This window comes from Homo sapiens, chromosome 1 (genome assembly GCF_000001405.40).
Source record: "Homo sapiens chromosome 1, GRCh38.p14 Primary Assembly".
NCBI lineage: Eukaryota > Metazoa > Chordata > Mammalia > Primates > Hominidae > Homo > Homo sapiens.
In genome coordinates, this window is record NC_000001.11 from 41,384,196 (window position 1) to 41,397,237 (window position 13,042).

At 54.5% G+C, this 13,042-nt stretch overlaps 2 annotated features.

Annotated features, from left to right (window-relative positions):
- Positions 2,875–3,855: an enhancer, noted in NCBI's record as "H3K4me1 hESC enhancer chr1:41852742-41853722 (GRCh37/hg19 assembly coordinates)". NCBI's record gives its function as "activates a minimal SCP1, AML or CMV promoter by ChIP-STARR-seq in naive H9 embryonic stem cells {active_cell/tissue: H9 hESC(naive)}" and the evidence as "EXISTENCE:reporter gene assay evidence [ECO:0000049][PMID:30033119]".
- Positions 10,738–11,307: an enhancer, noted in NCBI's record as "H3K4me1 hESC enhancer chr1:41860605-41861174 (GRCh37/hg19 assembly coordinates)". NCBI's record gives its function as "activates a minimal SCP1, AML or CMV promoter by ChIP-STARR-seq in naive H9 embryonic stem cells {active_cell/tissue: H9 hESC(naive)}" and the evidence as "EXISTENCE:reporter gene assay evidence [ECO:0000049][PMID:30033119]".

Genomic DNA, 13,042 nt, shown 5'->3' on the forward strand with positions numbered 1-13,042 from the left:
TTCAGCGCAGGTCCTGCACTCGTTCATTCCAGGAAGATTCGGTGAGCACCTGTTAAGTTCTTATACCAAGCATTGGGGCTGCCCTAGAGCCACACGGACACAGTCTCTACTCTTAAGGAACTTAGAGGCTCCTGGGGAGAACAGGCCAGCAAATAGGCGATTATAGATCAAAGCTGTGCTGATCGGAGGAGGAGCTGGGGGCTGTCGTGGGAATGAATGATGGGGCAGCACTCATCTTGGACTTGAGTCAGGGAAGGTGCCTGGACTGGTGCTGCCTCAGCTAAGCTTGGTAGGAGGAACTGGCATTGGGAAGGGGATTTAGATGAAATGGCATGTTCAAAGGCCCAGAGTCAAGAGGTGTGTGGATTCCAGAACCAAAAGCAGTTGAGTGTGGCTAAAGTTCAGAGAGGGACAGATTACTGATGGCAGGGAGGCTAATGGGCCAGAGGGTTCAACAGTGGAAGAGGGACAGTGTGGCCCAGCCAGAGGTGCTGATGTGGCTCAAACCAAGTTATGGGGGAGGACAGTGGGGCTGCAAGGGAAAGGATGAATTCACATCTACTTTGGATATGGAGTCATTGGGGACTTGGTTGTGGATTGGACCTGGGGGATGAAGGACAGGGAAGCATCAATTGATGCTTGGTTTTTGTTTGGGTATCTGGGGAGACAGGGCCATTCCTTGAGATGGGGCACACCAAAGCAGGAGGAGCCCTAGGGAAATTGATGTGCTCATTTGAGCTATAGTTCATGAGAATCTTTGGGATTTGGAGCAGAGGGAGGGATGTTCAGGAGCATACACACTGCGTGAAATGACATTCTCTGGCACTGGGCAACATAGTGGCCCTGAGGTGTCCACTTGCATAGTGGGGTCAGAGCCCAGAAGGTGTCTGGGCTGGAAAGGGAGGTCAAGAATCAGGAACACAGAAGGTGTCACTGAGGGGTTGGAAATGGCTTGGGAGGGGGAGGATTGCAGAGTTGGAAGAGCAGGAAGTCCAAGTCTGCTTTGATGAACATCTTGGCACAGGAGGGACCCACTGGCTGAGAGGAGAAGAGAAGGAAAACCAGGACCCCAGGGGATTGGGGACGGTGTCCTAGAAAGGAATACCCAATGTTCTTGCCTTCTGGAGCCTCACTTTCTCGGTCTGAAAGATGGGGCAGTAGCACCTGTTTCACACATTTGTTTTGAGGAGTAAATAAGATAGGAATTATTGTGTGAGGTCACACTATTGGCAAGGGCCAGAGCCCCTGAGTGTGTACCTCCAACACCCAGGCTCTCGTGCAGCCCCCACTGCCTCTGATGAGGTGGCTGAGAGCAGAGGAGCAGAGGAACTCAGAGCCAGTAGAATCCGCACAGATTCTGGGCTCTGAGTTGGGGCTGAGACCCAACCTGGTATGGCGGGTGTCCCTGCCAAGTGGGGAGCACATAGAGGCTGATGGCCCCTCCCCTGGGACAGATGCCCCAGCCCCACCCTACAGCCAGCCTCTGAGACAGCCCAGCTGGGTGTGGGCTCCATATGGGCTGCAGAACTGCCCCCACCCTAGGCTGACGGAGGGTGGGCCGCTGGTGTGTGTGCGCAGGGCTGTGTGTTTCCATGTAGTCCCATATGTGTCTGTCTGTGTGGGCCTGTGTGTGTGTGTCTGTGTGTGTGTTAGGGGTTAGTGAGTGTGCTGGGCAGGTGGGGTGGTGCTTGAGGTTCTCCCTGCCGAGTGTGCACATGGCTGGGCGTGTGTGTGTGTGTGCGTGTGTGTGTGGTGGGAATGACAGTGGATCTGCCTCCAAGTGTGCCCACACAAGTGCCGGGGCTGTGCAGTCCATGCCTGTGTGAGGTGCTGTCTCTGTCCCCACATGTGCCATGCACACCCTCCTCTCTGGGCTTGCCTGCCTGTCTTGGCACAAAGCTCTCTCCGGGAGCACCAGCACTGGTGTTCCCCTGCCAGGAGTGTCTTCTGGGCTGCTCTGCTGTCTGTCGGAGGGGAGGGGAGCAGAGGGACACTCCAGACCCTGGGATCCAGCCCAGCTTATGAGCAGGGAGGAGTGGGACCACCTCAGAGCTCTGACCGAGCTCTGCCTGGCTCAGGCCAGGGATCATTCCAGACACAGCTTCTGTCCTGCTGGGTCTCATCAGGAGAAAGGGGGCAACACCCCTGTGGCTGGGGGGCTGCAACTGGCTCTTCCCCATCAGCTTTGGAGCCCAGCAGACGCGCTCCCCTCTATGCCCACTCCCTGGGAGGCGTCTGACACATGATTTATTCATAAAAAGCCATTATTTGTGCCAAAGAAGAACTGAGCCGCTGGCTTTTTAAGTGCTGATAATGCTTTCAGCCTCCCTGCCTCTCCTCCTCTCCCTTCCCCTCCCGTCTTCTCTCTTCTCTCTCACCTCCTTCCTATCCTTTCTCCTCCTCCCCTTTCTTCCCCTTCCCCTCCGTTCTTTCCCTTGATATTCCTTGATTGTTCTCCCCACACCTCCTCTCCTATTTCTTTATAGACCTCCCCTCTCACGCCACTCAGCTCCTTCTCTCTACAGTGAGGCTGGGTCAGGGAGGCTCAGAATCAATTGTCCCAAACTGGGTAAGGCCTGCACTAGCCTGGAGCCCCAAGGACCCCACCCCTCCACCTCATCCTTCACCTCCAAAGGACCAGAGGAAGGTTGGGAGGAGGGGGGCCAGGCTGAGAAAAGTGGCGGGGTGAGGGGGGTCTTTGGAGGCTGTCCTGACCAGCTCCCCCTATGCTAAAGGGTGTGATTTCAGCACTCTTATTAGCACCAGTACCCCAGACTCCCAAGTAAACATTCAGTCTTGGTAAAAACAATGCACTTGCTATACAGGTTCAAGGTAAGCCCCTTAGAATGCCTTTCTCCCCTAAAGAATGCCCCCATATAGAAATTCTGGAGTCACCATTATTGAGGTGGTGCCAGGAGAGGATGGCATCAAGGGAGGCACTTGGGCCCCATGACAGAGCATCCCCTGTTCTCAGAGAGGAGGCAGCAGAATGAGTGTGTTCACAGAGCTTGAACATGGACCCAGGAAAGGTTCTTAGAAGCAGACACCATAGACCTACATGTGTGTGGCTTCGAACGTGCACATGCACACACAGACCAGCATGTGCATAGCTGCATACTTGCTCAGGCAGATGCAGAGCCATTCCTCACCCCTTTCCAAAGCTTTCCTCCCCTGAGCACCTGCAGCAGGGGCTGGAACATTTTCCCCATTCAGACACTTGCTCATTCATTCATCCATTCATTCATTCACTCCATGAACTTTGGTTTTATGCCCCCTCTGTGCCAGCCTTTGTGCTGGGCACTGGGGAGGCAGAAATAAACATTATTGGGCCCTAGAGAGGGGGACTGGAGCAGAGAGGGCACTACAGGCCCTCCCCTGCAGCCTTGGGCTGGGGGTTGGGGGCCCAGCAGGTGAGGGGTTAAGTCATTTGGCATCCAGAGCTGGAGCCATTAGGCCTCCTAATTATGAAATTATCGAGGTCCTCAGGTGACTGCTAATTTCACACACACTGTTCCTCTCACGGCTAATGAATGCCCGCAGAACCCACACCTTGTCTTTCCTGCTGAACGGTGACCTGCAGTTAATGAGCTCAGGAAGGCAGACAGGCCTCCGGCTGGGTGGGTGGGGCACCAAGCCTGAGGAGGGGCCCACTCACCCCTCCTTCCCCTCCCGGCTCCCTTTGCTGGCTGCCTGCCCCAGTGAAGACTCCAGGGCCAAAGCCCAGCCCGCAGTTTCTGCAGGACAGGCTAGGCCCAGCGCTCTTGGGAACAGGGAGAGATAAAGATTTGGGAGGGCTTTGGGTCATATGATCCTGGAATGAGCGTGGGCATAGTGAGGGAGGGATGGACGAGGCAGGAGTGAGAAATGAAATGTGGATGGTGGAAGAGGACCATTTCTGCTTGATTCTTGGGCCATGTCAGGGACATTTATGAAGGGTGAGGGAGTCATGACAGCTTAAGGGGTGGGGATTTGCAGGCAGGGTACAGTCACACCCTGATGCTGGAGACGACGATGACTTTGGGGGATAGTGATGCTGATGATACTGGGGATGTCAACTGGTGAGGCTGCCGTGCTGCTGCTGCTGGTTGTGATTTGTAAAGTTTAAATTTTTTAAATTAAAAAAGTAACATAAAACATGTACCCTGCAAACTAAGAAGGATAAAAACAAGGGACACATACTAGTTGCAATCTTAGGTGGGGCAGTGTGGGAGCCCACGTCTAGAGGCTGTGTTCCCCCAAATGGAGGCACGTGGATCCTCTGGGCTGACCACCAGGTGGGTTTGAAGGTCCTGTGGCCTGCCCATGGGGAGAGCCCTGCCCTAGCCATGACCCACCAGCCAGGTCAATACCGTTGAGTGGCAGCATGGTGAACGAGGACAGCAAGACAGTGAGAACCCCAGTCTGGGACATAAGCAGCCTTGTTCTAGCTTTCTCCTGCCCTGTGGCCTTGAGCCAGCTCCATTCCTTCTCTGGCCCTCTGTTTCTTGGTAAGTAAATGATAGGGTTAGACTAGAGCTGTGTGTTTCGATCTGTGTTTACAGAGAGGCAGGGCTGGGCTCCCTGAGGTCCACACTCAGCTTGCGGCAGGCACCCCGGGCCAGGGTCAGTGGAAGAATCCCAGGTTTAGTATTTGTGCACGAGGCACATTAGAAAGGTGAAGCTGCCCCTTCTCCCTCAGGACTCAGAAGGACATCCTGGATTCCCACCAGCCTGGCTGTAGGCTGTGTCTGCTGACAGCAAGTTTCCGTTCTGCCACCAGCTTGCATCTACTTCTGCACCTCAGTTTCCCACATGTCAAAGGTAGGTAATAAAGTGAGAACTCTCTTTGGATGCAACAAAAATCTCAGAAGTCCTGGCTGTCACTGTGTGACCTGGGCCCAACCAGGCTTTTCTCACGATTCTTCCAGTTCTCTCCCCAAGTGCCCACAGGGTGTCTTTCAGGCAGCTAGCTACATGATGAGGCCAGGAAAAGTGTCTGCACTGTGGGTGTTCCCAGGGAGGGGGGAAGCATAGGGAGAGAGGAGAGTCTGCCTGTCTGCCCACAGGCTCGCCCCTGCATCCTGCCAGCCCTTGAGATGAATTATCCCATTTGACCTGCACACCAATCAGAGGAAGATGCTTTTATTATTTCCATTACAGATGAGAAAACTGGAGATTCAAGAGGTTAAGTGACTAGCCCAAAGTCACAGAGCCAGAAAATGGTAGAGCCAGGTCTCAAACCCAAAGCTGATGGGCCACTGACTAGGTTAAACTTTTTCTCTCCATGCCAGACACAAATGGCCAGGTACACATATGCTTGTATATACATTCACACTAAGATACAGATAGACACAGAACTTCACTAATCGCCACATCTTCCCTGTATTTACACAAACAAGTTTGTTCTCCCCTGTGCTAAGGCAGGCAAACCCACACACCCATAGGCACAGTCAGACATGAATATATTCCTCATTCGTAGACTTGTAAAAATTCACATGTACATGCCCCCAGGCAGATGTTTGCACACAAACATACAAAGCACTTCTGCACATGCCTAAACACACGAAAGCACTATTGCATGTGCATGCAAACACTACCTAGGAAAGTGTGCATACACACAAATTCACACTCCCACGTGCACAGATGTTAGTGTTTACCCATGCACATGCACTGACATACAAACACAGAGTTGTACAAGAAATATCCTCAAGGGAGCATTTATACACATAGGTGCACATAGGTGTGCCTGTACAGGCACATATTCTGCACATATGAAGGAAGGCATATGAGTACTCTCACATGTGCATGCAGGCATGCACACACTTGCACACATGCAGAGAGCACACAGGCCCGGGTACCCTGGTACAGCAAGGTGAGCAGCTTCCCTGTACCCTGGGTGTGATGGATGGACCCACATTCTAAGTGACTATCAAAGTGTCGTGGTGTGTGAGGTGCAAACACCAATTAGTGGGGCCTTTGAAAGCATCGGCTTGTTAGAGGGGAAGCAGAAGAGGCTGGAACTGGCATAAAACATGGAGCTATTTAACTCTCACAGGGCGGGGGTGTGTGCACTGTGGAAAGGCCTTTGGGCAGAACTCCCCCCTCCATTCTGCACTTGTTACTGGAGAAGGACCCTCACGAGAGGCCTTGGCAGCCGGCTTTGATGCTCCTTGAAAGTGGGGGGTGGTGGGGGAGCCTCCTGCCAGCACTGGGCTGGCACTGAAAGAGCGGGGGCTGCGCCAACTGGCGATCAATTTCATGCACATCGTAAACCTAAGTGCTTTCTGGAGAGTCGGGCAGATTGCACATAAAGTCCCCCTTCTGTCCCTAGCACACGGGTGGGCGGGTGAGGCAGAGGCTCACCCTAGCAGGCAGACCTCCACCAGGCTGCAGGAGACATGGGTAACCTGGTCCCCAGTAGGAGGTGTCCTTGGGGATGTGGGGAGCTCTCTCAGGAGGGCTGGCACTCTGGGGGCAGCTGGAGATGTGGACAGTGCATGAATCCAGAGTCTATAGGATTCTACTACTTGTTGGCTGAATGACCCTGGGCAATTAGCTTCTCTGACCCTTAGTTTCTTCATCTGTAAAATGGGTTTATGTGGGAATTAAATGAGCTCATGTCCTTGGCATGAGGTGACACAGAGCTGCAGAACTGATGAGGACAAGTAAGGTCATATTTACATTTATTCTTATGCCCAAATGACCCAGGATCAGAGTCCCCCCATGCTCACTGCAGGGCCTTTGGCCACCACCATTCCTGGCAGGCTTTGGGCGGTATGAGTGGGGGATCTCCCAGGGGGGCATAAACCTGTCTTTCATTAGAGGAGCCCACCTATTCTTCCATTCTGTTCCTGCCCAAACTCCTAACTGCTATCCTTGAACATGTCTGGAGAAGCCATCTCTCCCATCATGAAGTACTAATGCCAGCATGTTCTCCAAATACCCTGCCCTTTGGATGCCAAAGAGTGGTTCTGGGCTCTGCATCAAGGCCAGGGTGGCAGGGATGGAGCAGGACCCAGTCCAGAGCTTGGATCCTCCCCCAAACCCAACTACTGCCAGCCCAGGGGTCGACCTGAATGTAGCCATGCAGATGCCTGGGCCCCATGCTTTCTGTGGCCTGAGAAGGAAAGAGAGGTCTGCAGGGCCTTTCCTGTACTTCAAAGGCACCGGTCACACCCTCAAAGCAGGGTCTAGGCAGAGGGAAGCCTGGTTTTCGCTGGGCAGTCCAGGTCTCTGGTCACACAACAAACACTGGAACCTGAGCATAGACCGGCCCAAAGGGAGACCAGGATTGAAGCCAGGCCCCCAAGCCCACCCCTCACAGTCCCAGCTCCAGGCCCTGGTGGCCCCTGCGGGGCCTAGGCCACCCTGACATTCACCTAATTGTCTTCCTGCTTTGATGAGTGGATCCGCAGAGGCGCCGCCACGGATCAAATTAAATGTGAGCCAAGCCGGCAGCCCCGATGATGGGAGGGAAATACCACATTTACATAGCCCAGCACAGGGGCAGGGAGACCCAGGCCCAGAGTGACAGAGACCATGGACCCAGGAGGAGGCAGGGGAGGAAGACAGAGGTGGGGCTGAGGTAGGGTGGGCAGAGGCATCCTCCCCAGGGTCGCTGTCACTGTTGAATAAAGGGCAGGTGGGGAGGGAGGATCAATACAGAAAGAGGCTCTTCCCACCTCCAGGCAGGTGACTGCCTCTCTGCCAAGCCCAGCCCGTTGGCCTAGAGGTGGGAAGGTGGGGCCCAGGATGCAGCCTTGTGCCCCTCCTATACCAACTCCCATCTGGGTTTCCACACAGCTCCCTTCACCCCAGCCCAGACCCCACAGCTGGGCTGCAGCTGCCTCCCTCAGCACAGCCCTGGTGGGTGCGGCCTTGAGCTTCTCTTAGGTTCACTCGGGGACATCCTGGCTGCCTGTCCTGGGTGTGCGAGAAGGAACGGGCCCAGGAAGGGTGCGTGGGTGTTTGTGTGTGTGTGGGTGGGTGGGGGTGTTTGTGTGTGTGTATGAATGTGACAGAGTGATCATGTGTGGCACCTGTATGAGACCTTTGTGCAGGTGTGTTGGCTGTCACTAGGCCTGGGCACCTGTCGGACATTAGTGAGCTAGGTCTTCCCTCTCCTCGATGTGGAGTCAGGCCTGAAGGCTCTGGGTGGTCTGGAGGCATCCACCTGTAGACACTGAGTCTGTGTGTGGGACGTGTGTGGCACTGGTGTCCAAGTCAGAGTGATTGTGCCAATGGCCCCTCCACCCCAAAAGCATGTTCCCAGGTGCAAAGCACTGTCACAGCCTGCAAACTACCCTGGGAGGTAGGTATTATCCCCACTTTACAGAGAGGAAAACTGAGGCTCAGAGGGGGAAGTGGAAGCATCCTGATTCGTACCAAGGGCACAGCTCCAACACAAACCTAGAACTGTCCCACCCAAACCCAGTCGGTCTTTGCCTGCTCTGCTGCTGCCTGTCTCTCTGAGTATGAAGGCTGGGCCTGATGGGTCCAGAGCACGCAGCACAGAGGGCTTGTGCTTAGTAGGGATTGACAAATGCTTATTCATCACTTCCTTCAACTTCCTAAACCTATTCCCTCCCGAAACACACCCTACTTTCCTCCTTTAGCCTTGCAGGCATGGACTGGACACCTCATATAGTATTTTCATCATTAACACCATTTACTGAATGCATGCCATGCAGCAGGCAGGAGCCATGCCCTTTCCACATGTGTCCTTGAACCCTATGCAGTAGGCACCTTCATCAGCTTCCTTAACAGATGTGGAAATGGAGGCTCACACAGATCAAGGAAAAGCTTTTTTTTTTTTTTTTTCCCTTAGACGGAGTCTTACTTTGTCACCCAGGCTGGAGTGCTGTGGCATGATCTCAGCTCACTGCAACCTCTGCCTCCCTGGTTCAAACGATTCTCCTGCCTCAGCTTCCCAAGTAGCTGAGATTATAGGCGCTCACCACCACGCCTGGTTAATTTTTGTATTTTTAGTAGAGAGGGGGTTTCGCCATGTTGGCCAGGCTGGTCTCCAACTCCTGACCTCAAGTGATCCACCCGCCTTGGACTCCCAAAGTGCTAGGATTACAGGCGTGAGCCAGCATGCCTGGCCCATTTTGTTAAGAGTTAGGCTGTGCACCCAGATGTGCAGAGGCGTGTGGAAAGAGAGGCTTCCCATACGTGAATGTGTGTGTGGGCTTACACATTCACACAGTCGTGTGTGAGCACGTGCACCATGGTGTGAGAGTGAGGCCAGGGCAGGAGCAGGCAGGACCCCTTGCCCTCTGCCGGTCGCTGTGAGATGCTCCCACCAGCTCACATCATTGGCTGCTCACAACAACTCCACTACCTGAGAATTCTTAGTCCCCCATTTTTGGAATGAGCAAACTGAGGGTTGAAAATGGGAAGAGACGGCAAGTAGTACCAGGGCTGGTCCTGAGAGCCAGTAGCAGCCTCTAGATGCTGGTTCTTTCCAGAACTCCAAGGCTCAGCAAGGTGCGTCCTTTCCTTCCTGCCATCTTGGTGGGGCTGAGCACTGGGGTGGGGTGCATTCCTCTGTCTCTACCACCTGCTACTTGGCACTCCCTCACACCAGCTTCAGGGGAGCTAGGCCCACAAAAGTGCCTGTTGGCTCCACTGAGAAGCCCTTCCCCATCACCCACGGGGTCCAGGGCGGCTTTTACTGGGAAAATAATTAGAAATCTAATTCTTATTTCTCCCACTCTGCTAATTGTCTGTGGACAATTTGATTGTAACAGTCGTCACTGAAGCAGAAAAACCACCTTATTTCTGCCAGACATCCTCCCTGCAATTAACACTAGCAACTGCTTTGCTCTCTTCTCACCTGCAGAGACCCAGGGCCCTGAGGTTCCCTCACCTTTCTGCCTCCCAGCTCTGGTAAGCACATCTGGGGACCAGGCGTAGCCACAGGGTGGGGGGATGGGGCAGAGGCAGGGTGGGTGTCCAGGGACCTAGAACCAAGACGACAGAAAGAGAGAGAGAGAGAGAGGAGAGAGAGAGAGAGAGAGAGAGAGAAGATGAATAAATATGAATATTTGAGCATTTGGATAAAAAAGGGAGAGATGGAGGCCTAGGCCCAGTGGGCGACAGAGAGCACTGGGCCAGACCTGGGTCAAGAGAGATGTGGGGAGAAGGGAAGGCAAAGGAGGGAAGAAAGTGCCCAGTATGGGCCAGGGTGACAGGGCAGGAGCCCAGACTGTCCCTCTGCCAAGGCAGGGGACAAAACTTCTCTGAGACAAAACCAGACAGTGTGTTTAGGAGCTGGCTGTGGAGGGCTCCCCAGAGAGCCCAGCCCCCTGTGGGATGTGGCTGATTAGGAAAGGAAGGAGCTCGGGAGGAGGGGATGGGGCACGAAGGCGATGGGGGGATGGGAAGGGGGATGGATCCGGACCCAGACAAGACTGCAAATGGCAACGGCACTGAGAATGAAACAGCACAATCCTGGACTGACCTGTTGATCAAAGCTACGAGGCTCCATTCTCCGGCCGCTACCGCCCTTCCCTCGCTGGGAGCACAGCCCCTCTGGGGAGAGGGTGGTGGGTGCCCTCCACTGTTATGACCCCACTGTTACTCCTCACACATCATATCTTCAGATCCCCCAGCCCTGTCCCGGTCCCCCACTCTGCCTCATATCTCCCCTGCTGGCAGGACCCTGGCAGGGGTTCCCACATGGGTTGAGTCTTCCCTCTTAGGACACAGGGCAGGCTGAGAGCTTAGCAGTCCCCTCAGCCTCTGCTGAAGCCTGGTGCAGAGGGCAGGAGAGAGCCTGCTGACTGTTGGCGCCAACCTGGGCACACTAGTGCCTGCTGCTCTCAGATGCCTGGCTCAAGGCATCTTCCCCAGGGCACCTGCAGGTGCCATGGGATGACTCGCTGCATGTTCTGTGAAGGGGGCAGGTGTGGGCAGCTCAGCTCAGCTCATAGAGGAGCCCTGAGCAGCGTCCCCTGCCTTCACCCCAGGGCTGCGCATGCCTGGTGAGGGCTCTGACCCAGCCTTTTCTCCCCTAGCTCAGAGTCTTGTGGGGAGAGTGGAGGGAGAGTGTGGGGGCTGGCAGCTAAGTGGAGGGGCCTGGGGCCTGCAGAGGGGTGATGGAGTGAGAGAAAGAGAAAGGGGAGCTTCATCCCAGAGCCTCCTCTGTCTCTTCTTCCCTCTGCCGTCTCTCAGCCCTCCCCGCTCCTCACTCCCAGTCTTGTCAGGGGAGGATGGGGTGCCAGGGGCTCCTGTCAGTCTGGAGCTGGAGAGCTCCCCGGGCTTCATTAACATGCAAATTAGCAAGTTCTGACTGGCTGTGGCAGCGACAGGCAGCCACCCCTCCCAGCCCCAGGAGTGTGTGTGTGTGTGTGTGTGTGTGTGTGTCTCCTCTGCGGCAGGGCTGGATGGAAGTGGGGGAGCAGCTCTCATTGCCCTGGTCTCCACAGACAGCAGTGCATGTGTGTCTAACATACATACACACACTTATACACTCATACCTACAGAAAGACACATAATACACAGCTACATACAGCCACACATCACACAGTCTCAGGGACATTCATGGACACACAGTTACGCGTATAGCGTCACACACACAACTTCACACACAGTGGTCACACCCTAAACTGTCTCAAATAGGCATACCCTTTCCAAACACACTATTTTTCACACCCTCACCACAACCCTGCCGAGGAACAAACCCACAAACACACCACCCCCTACACAGCCACACACATACACACATAATCTCAGTTACACAAAATCACACACAGGCACAGTCCAGGGAGAGAGCGGGGCTGAGGCTCCACACTCAGCCTGGGAGAGCAACTGCCTCCACCTGGACGCCCTCCATGCCCACCTCACCCACCTTCCCTCCACCTGAACTGGCCAAGATCAGCCTGTGTCTCCCCCGGTCAGCTCTCAAGGTTGAATACTGTCTGGCCCCTCTGCCTGGATGCACCCTGAACTCCCTCACCCGGTCCACTTGCACTGTCTTCCAGCCATCACCTCTCCTGGCTGCCTGCCCTCACCCTCTATCCGTGGGGCTGGGCCCCTGCTCCGGCCGCCCAGGCTTCCCTTGAGAGTGGCCCTGGTCACGCTGCATTGAAATTGCCCGTTGATGTGTCTGCCTCCATCAGGATGGGAGCTCCAGGAGGACAGGACCGGCGTCAGTCAGTCTTGTTTATGGCTCTGTCCCAGCGCTCAGCTCACTCTGACCTGTCCGTGCTATTTCCGCAGCAGATGGAGCGAGGGCCAGCAGTGTTAACAACGGGAATGGCTAAGATTTTTACATGGCATTCGCTCTGTGCTGGGCCATATACACAACAGCCCTACGAGAGAGTTTCTACTATTCACCACCCCATTGTCACAGTCAAGGAAACTAAGGCACAGAGGGCTTAAGGTGCCTGAGCAAGATCACCCAGCCAGAACTGCGGTCTGAACTCTGGTTCCCCAGCTCAGAATAGCCCTGTACATGCTCTTCCCAGGACTCTAGGCAGAGATGTGGGGTGTTGAGGGCGGTCACAGGGGGCCAGAAACATTCCTTGGCGAGGGGAAGAGCAGCAGGAGGAGATTTCAGTTCCCAGGAATAGACGGAGGACACTAGATCTCTGAGAGGAAGGTCTGTGGTCACTCACCACCTGCACGGAGGCCCTGGGCCATGGGATCCTGGGACATCAGGGTTGGGGAGATCGAGCAGGACATCCATTTTAGAGAGGGGTTGACTGACGCCAGAGAGGTCCTAAATCACACTTGCCTTCCATTTCTCGAATATCTGTAAAGTGTGCCAAGCACACTTGTTTATCTACTTTAACCCTTGAGACAGCCCAGTGAGGTTGGCACAATAGTTAGCTCCATTTTACAGGTCAGAAAAGTGAGGCTCCATGTATCTCTATATGCCCAAGGTTGGTGTGGATATCTGTGGTTTTGTCTACAAGGAATCATTTTCAACCCATGTTAACCCTGATTTTAGAATGGGAGCTGCCATCGTTTACAGAGCCTACCCTCCTGGGCAATGTTGATTGGCTCAGTGAAGGACACGTGATTCACACTGGGCCAATCAGAAGCCCTGGCTTGA